Source organism: Homo sapiens, chromosome 14 (assembly GCF_000001405.40).
Source record: "Homo sapiens chromosome 14, GRCh38.p14 Primary Assembly".
Classification (NCBI taxonomy): Eukaryota; Metazoa; Chordata; class Mammalia; order Primates; family Hominidae; genus Homo; species Homo sapiens.
This window is the reverse complement of record NC_000014.9, coordinates 45,564,250-45,573,749: the sequence shown is the minus strand read 5'-3', so window position 1 is coordinate 45,573,749 and position 9,500 is coordinate 45,564,250. Positions and strand designations below refer to the sequence as shown.

Below are 9,500 nucleotides of genomic sequence, written 5' to 3'. Positions count from 1 at the left end.
CAAATTAATCTTATTTTTTAAAAAATACTATGTAGAAGTTTAAGAGGAACACAAATTGTGTATATTTCTACAATTATTTTAGAACTCATTTGTCCGTACTATTCTGGACATAGGAAAAAGCAAAGATTTCATGACAAAGACACCAAAAGCAATTGCAACAAAAGCAAAAATTGACAATGGGATCTAATTAAACTTAAGAACTTCTGCACAGCAAAAAAAAAAAAAAAAAAAAAAGCCTATCAGCAGAGTAAACAGACAAACTACAGAATGGGAGAAAATGTACTATGCATCTGACTAAGGTCTAATATCTAGCATCTATAAAGAACTTAAATTTACAAAGGAAAAACAAACTACCCCCATTAAAAAGTGGGCAAAGGACATGAACAGACACATCTCAAAAAAAGACATACATGTTGCCATAAGACATATGGAAAAAAGCTCAATATCACTGACCCTTAGAGAAGCACAAATCAAAATCACAATGAGATACCATCTCACACCAGCCAAAATGGCCATTATTAAAAAGTCAAAAAAAAAAAAAAAAAACCAGATGCTGGCAAGGCTGCAGAGAAAGGGGAGCCCTTATACACTGTTTTTGGGAGTTTAAATTAGTTCAGTCATTGTGGAAAGCAGTATGGTGATTCCTCAAAGAGCTAAAAGTTGAACTACCATTCAACCTAGCAACCCCATTACTGGGTATATACCCAGAGGAATATAAAACATTCTACCATAAAGACACATGCATGTGAATGTTCATTGCAGCACTCTTTACAATAGCAAATACATGGAATCAACCTAAATGCCCATCAATGACAGACTGGATAAAGAAAATGTAGTACATATATACCATGGAATATTATGCAGCCAAAAAAAAGAACAAGATCATGTCTTTTGCATGATCCCTGCAGGTACATGGATGGAACTGGGGGCCATCATCCTTAGCAAACTAACACAGGAACAGAAAATGAAATACTGCATGTTTTCACATATAAGTAGAAGTTAAATGATAAGAACTTATGAACACAAAGAAAGAAACAACAGACACTGGGGTCTACTTGAGAGGGGAGGATGGGAGGAGGGAGAGGAGCAGAAAAGGTAACTACTGGGTACTGAGCTTAATACCTGGGTAATGTAATATGTACAAAAAAAACCTCTGTGAAACGTGTTTGTCTATGTAATAAACCTTTACATGTACCCCCAAACCTAAAATAAATATTTAAAAATAACTCACCCAACTAGACAACAAATTCTTCTAAAATAAAAGCATCCCCATATAAGATTGAAATAATAACGTTAATGAGAAGTTACTTCCGAATAAAGTAAGTCATACCAGAAGATTAAAAATTCACAATAACATTAAGGTTATTTTTGGTTTGGGGTATTTTTTTTCTTTTACATCTAGGAAGAAGTTTTTAAAAACCACTTTTTTACAAAATCATTTATACTGCCACCATTTGTAATATAGGAAATTTTTAAATCATCAAATTATAGTATAAGTAAAATGAAATTCATCATAAAATATATATAATATTTTACAGAATTCGAGGTTAAGAAAACTAAATATTAACACATTGATGATAAAAATTTACCTTGCCCTAAAAAATATTTTAAAAATTTTTTAAATAAGGACACAGTTAAACATTTATGGGTGCTCATTTTCCTTCTCTCTCTTTCTCTCTTAGTTTAAGTAAAAAATAAATTGTTTTTAACTATTTGCAGAAACTTCAAAGGACATGAGGGAAAGGTACAGACTGCTCAAGACAAGTGGAGAAGAAATGGAATCTAATTACAGCAGCAGATAATAGTGGTGCCAAGAAACCAGTTACAAAAATGCTTTGATATGCTTGCTACTAAAACTTTGTGCAGAAGCGTAGTTTTAAATGTACAAAAATTACTCTAGGATGCAAAAGACATGGTATCTCATTTTAAGTCTGTCATCAATTTAGTTTCCTTGAATAAGTTATTCAACCTTGAACAAGTCTCTCAACCTTGCTAAGCCTAAAAATATCTTCACTTCTAACAGGAGGATGTTGAACCAACCCATATTTAGTTTCCCTCTGAAGCATTCTTTTTCTATTACTACCTATTATTCTCACCATCTGAACTAAATTCCTTTATCACTCCACCAAGAGCACAAGTTATCTCTGCATCTCAAGATCCTCACAGATCTTGGGACCCTTCCCCCAAATTAAAATTCTAGGCTGGCCAGGTGCAGTAGCTCACGCCTGTAATCCCAGCACTTTGGGAGACCAAGGGGGGCAAATTGCTTGAGTCCAGAAGTTTGACGCCAGCCTGGGTGACATGGTGAAACCTTGTCTCTAAATTGAAAAAAAAAAAGTAATTAGATACCACATTACCAGTGCAATCTAAAAGGAAAAGAATCAATACTTAAATTAGAGATAATTAGAGATAATAAGATAATAAGAAAATAAGGGTTTTTCCTTTTCCCTCAGACTATAATTTTAAAAGCTTGAAAAAAAATTTATAAAAATGTAAAAAGGATAGAATTGATACTACAAAGAGAGTAAAAAGCAACAGAGTTTTCTCTTCAAAAGTAGAAGAATATTTCAAAACCTGGAACGATTCTTACAGACGTAATAGTCAAAATAATAAAGCATGGGAGTTAGAAGATGAAAAATATTAATAAAAGATAAACAGATTTGAAAATGAGGAAAACTAAGGTAAACATTATTTAATTAAACATTTATTAAATAACATAGCTTCACTAACATAAAATTTGAACATTTAATTTCAGATAAATTTAAGACTATCAAGATAAAACAATGAAGAACAGACAGGGGACTGGAAATGTACATACAAGCAATTATTATTTTTAGATTCTCTTGGGGGTGTGCATTATTTGCTTGGTGACAGCATAAATAGCAGAAGTTACAAAAATAGCCATTTTGAAATATATCAATGATAATTACTTTAAAAATTTATGGAGCATTTCTATATCAAGATTTCTAAGTATACAAAATTTACCTCCTCTCCCTAAAAATGAAAGACTATTAACAAATATATATATATATACATTTGTTAGTATATATATATATACTTTAGTATATATATATACTTTAAGTTCTGGGATACACGTGCAGAACGTGCAGGTTTGTTACACAGGTATTCATGTGCCATGGTGGTTTGCTGCAGCCATCAAACTGTCATCTACATTAGGTATTTCTCCTAATACTATCCCTCCCCTAGCCCCCCACCCCCCAACAGGCCCCCGTGTGTGACGTTCCCCTCCCTGCGTCCATGTGTTCTCATTGTTCAACTCCTACTTATGAGTGAGAACATGCAGTGTTTGGTTTTCTGTTCCTGTGTTAGTTTGCTGAGAATGATGGTTTCCAGCTTCATCCATGTCCCTGCAAAGGACATGAACTCATCATTTTTATGGCTGCATAGTATTCCATGGTGTATATGTGCCACATTTTCTTTATCCAGTGTATCACTGATGGGCATTTGGATTGGTTCCAAGTCTGCTATTGTGAATAGTGCTGCAATAAACTTATGTGTGTGTATGTCTTTATAGTAGAATGATTTATAACCCTTTGGGTATATACCCAGTAATGGGATTGCTGGGTCAAATGGTATTTCTGGTTCTAGATCCTTGAGGAATCGCCACACTGTCTTCCACAATGGTTGAACTAATTTACACTCCCATCAACAGTGTAAAAGCACTTCTATTTCTCAACATCCTCTCCAGCATCTGTTGTTTCCTGGCTTTTTAATGATAGCCATTCTAACTGGCGTGAGACGGTATCTCATTGCAATTTTGATTTGCATTTCTCTAATGAGCAGTGATGATGAGCTTTATTTCATATGTTTGTTGGCTGCATAAATGTCTTCTTCTGATAAGTGTCTGTTCTTATCCTTTGCCCCACTTTTTGATGGGGTTGTTTGTTTTTTCTTGTACATTTGTTTAAGTTCTCTGTAGATTCTGGATATTAGACCTTTGTCAGATGGATAAATTACAAAAATTTTCTCCCATTCTGTAGGTTGCCTGTTCACTCTGATGATAGTTTCTTTTGCTGTGCAGAAGCTCTTTCATTTAATTAGATCCCATTTGTCAGTTTTGGCTTTTGTTGCAATTGCTTTTGGTGTTTTAGTCATGAAGTCTTTGCCCATGCCTGTATCCTGAATGGTATTGCCTAGGCTTTCTTCCAGGGTTTTCATGGTTTTAGGTCTTATGTTTAAGTCTTTAATCCATGTTGAGTCAATTTTTGTATAAGGTGTAAAGAAGGGGTCCAGTTTCAGCTTTCTGCATATGGCTAGCCAGTTTTCCCGACATCATTTATTAAATAGGGAATCCTTTCCCCATTGCTTGTTTTTGTCAGTTTTGTCAAAGATCAGATGGCTATAGATGCATGGTGTTATTTCTGAGGACTCTGTTCTGTTCCATTGGTCTATATGTCTGTTTTGGTACTAGTAACATGTTGTTTTGGTTACTGTAACCTTGTAGTATAGTTTGAAGTCAGGTAGCGTGATGCCTCCAACTTTGTTCTTTTTGCTTAGGATTGCCCTGGTTATACAGGCTCTTTTTTGATTCCATATGAAATTTAAAGTAGTTTTTTCTAATTCTGTGAAGAAAGTCAGTGGTAGCTTGATGGGAATAGCATTGAATCTATAAATTACTTTGGGCAGTATGGCCATTTTCACGATATTGATTCTTCCCATCCATGAGCATGGAATGTTTTTTCATTTGTTTGTGACAAATATTTTATTTTAAAACACTGGAAGTAACCAAATGAATGCTAGAAAAAACAATGAAGAATTCCTGGAAAATATATAACAAATGAGAATAAATTAATGGGCAAATCCAATGACTAAAAACCCATGACTACACACAACTGACAAGAGGGAACTTCCAATTGAGGTCGTTTTCCCAGCCAACCATAGAAATTGTGAGAAGGATACAGACATGGGCTGGGGAGCTGAAGACAGGAGAGGGCCATGGGGTCCTACCAGGTAATTATTGAAGAACAGAATATTTGAGGGTAATACTAGCATTTATCCCCAGGATAATATTCTAAATAAGTTCTGAAGATAAGTTCCGATGATACATTTTGAGTAGGCACTGGTGCCAGAAAACCAGGCAATATTTTTATAGCTCTTAATGTAAGCCAGAAGCCTGCATGAACCCCCGCCAAAAAAGCTACTTACCTATTTCACCAGGCCATATGCCATCTCCCCTCCCATCCACACATCAGAAGTTCAGCTCCTATAACGAAGACAGAATCCATTGTTTTACACACAAGATAGTTTTCAGGGATTCTTAGCCAGGCAAACAAGGTTAAAGAAATACGCAAGGAAGAACTGTAACTTTCATTTAATGCTAGTGGAAGTGCCAATGGGTATATCTGCTTTGGAAACCATTTGGTGTTAACTATATGTTCTTCCCCTCCTCCAGTCTATCCTCTACACTTCTTTAAGAATCATCTTACTATTAAAAACATACTTAAGTAGAAAATAAAAGAAAGCAAAATTGAACTTCCACATTCAGAAATGATAAATGAGTGAGTTCAGATCAACTCTCTTAGGTCAATTAGAAGAGCTTCAAAATATAAAATGCATTAAAACTATCTACATGAATGCATAAGAGAGCTAACATTGTAGTGAAGAATTATAGCCATGATATATGACAGACATACCCAGAAAAGTAAACCCGTTATTGGTGGTTGCTTGACCCCTGAGGGCATTTGCCAATTCCAGAAGAGATGGATGAGAAGGGAAGCAGTACTTTTGAAAACCTGGAGTTAGAAGCCAGAATCCACAATGGGATGGAGCCCCAATATGTTTGTTTCAGTGATCCAAAAAAAAAAAAAAAAGAAAGAAAGAAAGAAAAAGAAAATTAGAGTGAATCAGAAGTAACATAAACCTTGCACAGACTGCAGTCCAACTTTCATTTCTATGCATGGCCCCAAGAAAAACAATTACTAAATATCCAAATTGCTACTGTACCCACATGCTTTGGCAGAATGAACCAGTCATCTCTAAAGAAAAATAACATCATGATAGGACTTAAATTTTTTGCAAAGGGTTTTTTCAATATGATGTCTGACAAACAATAAAAAATGGCAAATGAAAATACCAAGACAACATAAACAAGAATGAATAGAATTGGCAGACCATAAAAACAAAGCCACCAAGGCTATAGATATGAGAATTACCAGGCATAGATTTTAAAATAACTATGCTTATCAAATAAATAAAAGATTCACTTTTAAGCAAAGAATGAGAAACTATAAAAATGACATAGTTATGAAGCAAAACTAAATAGCAATTTTAACACTGAGAAATACAATTAAAATTAAGAACATAGAGGATGCATTTTAAAACAAAACAGACACTGGTGAAATGAGAATTAGTTAACTGGAAGATATACTGGAATATCTTGAACATAATGAAGGAGAGAGGAAAAGCATGAAAAATATAGAAGAGAGGATAAGAGAGAAGGCATTGTAACAAGTTATAATATACATTATAATTAATTGTAGGACCATGAGCAGAGAACAAAGACAATGGAGTAGAATTAATATTTGAAAAGACAATGACCAAGAATTTTCTAAAAATTTTTCTAAAACTGTTGAAAAGACATCAATACACATGCTTTTGTCTCTTTGGGCTAGATAGATCATAAACAACAGAAATTTATTTCTCAGAGTTCCAGAGGCTAGGAAGTCCAAGTTTAAAGTTGCTGGCAGATCAAGTGTCTGGTGAGGGCCAAACATCAATCCAGTGTCATAGAAGGCTGTATTCTTCTTGTGTCCTCACATAGTGGAGGAACAATAAAGCTCTCTGAAGTTCCTTTTGTAAGAGCACCAATCCCATATTGAGGGCTGTACCTTATTACTTAGTTATTTCCCAAAGTCCCCACCTACTAATACCATCACAATGGAGATTTGGTTTCAACACATGAATTTGGGGGCAATACAGACATTCAGTCTACAGAAGAAATAGAGGCGACATGTAATTATGTTGGGGACTCTTGGGAAGCATACCTAGGAACATCTGGCAGAAAATACATAGAAAAATACCCACAATTGTTCAGGGTGTCAAGCATAATCTTGCAGGAGAAGGGTTTTCTAAGCAGAGCTCTAAAGGATAAGGATAATTTAGCAAGGTGAAAGGTGAGGAGAGATGAATAGGGAAAAGAGTATTTTGAGGCAAGGAGAACAATATGTTATCTTTTCCAAAGAAAGAGGATGCAATGACTTCCAGGAACTGAAGGCAACTCAGTATTGCTGAAATATAGAATATGGGGTGGGAAAGTGGTGAGTGATAAGAAAAGGTCAGTGACAGCATCATGATGGTGGGCCCTATAAACCATAAGTTATTTGATTATTTGATAATTATTTTTTCATATATTAAAAGTCTCTGTTGGTATTAATAAATAAATAGATTGGGACAAGATTAGAGTTAGGATGCTAGTTAGAAGGCTATTACAGTAACTCAGTCAAGAGACGGTGGTGGCACAAGATAGTAGAGCAGAAATGGAGAACATTAGGTGGATTTGGAAGTATAAATTTGAGGTTTATAACAAGTGGATTTGGGTGATAAAAGAGAACAAAGTCTTAAAGATGATCCCCCAACTTCTGGATTAGGCAACTGTGAGGAAAGTGGTATGAATCACTGAGATAGAGGTAAACTGAAGCTGCAGCAGGTTTTTGGGGAGATGATTTTATGTGGGACATCCTGTATGTGAGGTGCAAATAGCCCAGTGAAATGTAGATGTATATGGTATATGGGTCTGAGCACAAGAGCAAGATGTGGGTAGAGCTGTAGAGGAAGAATAGCTACATAGATAGCTACTGAAGTCATAGAAGGGAGCTTCGGACACGTGTCTGAGGAAATGTCAACATTCAGGAGAGATGCAGAGGCTGAGAATCCAGTAAAGCAGATGGAGCTGAAATGATTTGAGAAGTTTAGCTCTGAAGAAAAGGAAGAGATTCATTTATCATACTGTTAAATATACCAGGAGCTAAGATCATATTATTAATACCTGTGTTTTAATGTGGGTTCTGCCACTTACTAGTTTTACAAAGCTGGTCAAATCAGTCTCTCCAAGACTCATTTTTCCTCACCTATAAAATAGGGATGACAATATACCTACTGAATAGGGTGGTTTGAGAATTATATGAAACATACTATACTTTCAATTATTATGAATACACTTAGCAGAAAGCAGGATAGTTATAGGAAGTGTGAGAGGCAGTCAGCATTGGTTGGGTGGGAGCTCAGATCTAGACTCAGGTCCTTTGCTCACTTGCTGGGTAAGCTTGTAAGTTACCTGACTTCTTTCCCAAACTGGGTCACAGTAGGACCTATGTCACTGAACAGTTGTAAGGATTAAATAAATAATATTTAAAAGGGGGTTAGGACAGTGTGGTGTTTTCTGCATGTTTAATGCATGTAAAAGTCTTATTGTTTTACATATAATATGCATGCAATAAATATTAATAGTTATAATTATTATCATCATCATTATTGACCAAACAGTGTCAACATGGGCATGGGTTCATGTCAAAGAGACATTAAAATTGAACTACATGATGGGAGTAGGGCTTTAAGGACCACCATGGAGTATGTGAGCCGTCAGAAACTCTATCAGATAAAGGAATCTAATTGAGTGAAGTATTTATTATCAAAGATTCTTTTGATATAATTTTAGTCAAAAGAAAAATGATTCAATTAAAACCTTCTTTGGGCCAGGTGTTGGCGGCTTATGCCTTTATCCCAGCACTTTGGAAAGCTGAGGCAGGAAGATCCCTTGAAGCCAGGAGTTCAAGACCAGCCTGGGCTGGTGAGACCCCCATCTCCACAAAAACAATTTAAAAATTAGCCAGACGTGATGGCACACACATGTATTCCTAGTTACTCAGTAGGTAAGATGGGAGGATTACTTGAACCCGGGAATTTGAGGTTGCAATGAGCTGTGATTGAACCACTGTATGTACTCCAGCCAGCCTGGGTGACAGAGTGAGACCCTATCTCAAAAAAAAAAAAAAAAAAGAAAAGAAAAAAAACCACACAAACAACAACAAAAATCTTCTTAGAATCTCCATTTTAAGGGAAAAAGTCTTAAGCCTTTTGTGGTGTTAAAGCGGGCTAACTATCAAATCTAGAAGCCTAAGAGAGGCCAGAGGGGCTTGTAAGATTTATGCTGAGAACATATAGCACATATAGCAGCTGGCAGGAAAACAAAACAAAAACGAGAATCAGTTAAGAAAGTGAGAGATGAACCATGAAAAATTCAAGAGCTAAGAAAACTAGTGGGAGAAAGAGCAGGGAGGGTAGGAGTTTAGAGGAAACAAATTTGAGATATTTTAAACCTTACTATGTGCCAGATACAATTCTAAAAATTTATGTATATTAACTTTTTACTCACTATAACAAGGCCATGAGGAAGGTAAAAGTAAAGAAATCAATGCATAGAGAGTCTATATTACAACTCATTTAAGTACATAAAAAGAGAGTTGGGGAAAGCAGGATGCATG

General features: G+C 35.5%; 1 long non-coding RNA gene across 1 annotated transcript in view; it reads right to left on the bottom strand.

Moving 5' to 3' along the window:
- Positions 1–3,902: 3,902 nt before the first annotated feature.
- LOC105370476 (uncharacterized) overlaps positions 3,903–9,500 on the bottom strand; it is a 166,495-nt gene continuing 160,897 nt past the window's right edge. Inside the window, exons 3-5 of the long non-coding RNA XR_943820.3 lie at positions 5,655–5,753; positions 5,167–5,224; positions 3,903–4,780 (exon numbers count right to left, since the gene is read on the bottom strand). This is a non-coding gene — a long non-coding RNA (uncharacterized LOC105370476). The remainder of the gene's footprint in view (positions 4,781–5,166; positions 5,225–5,654; positions 5,754–9,500) is intronic.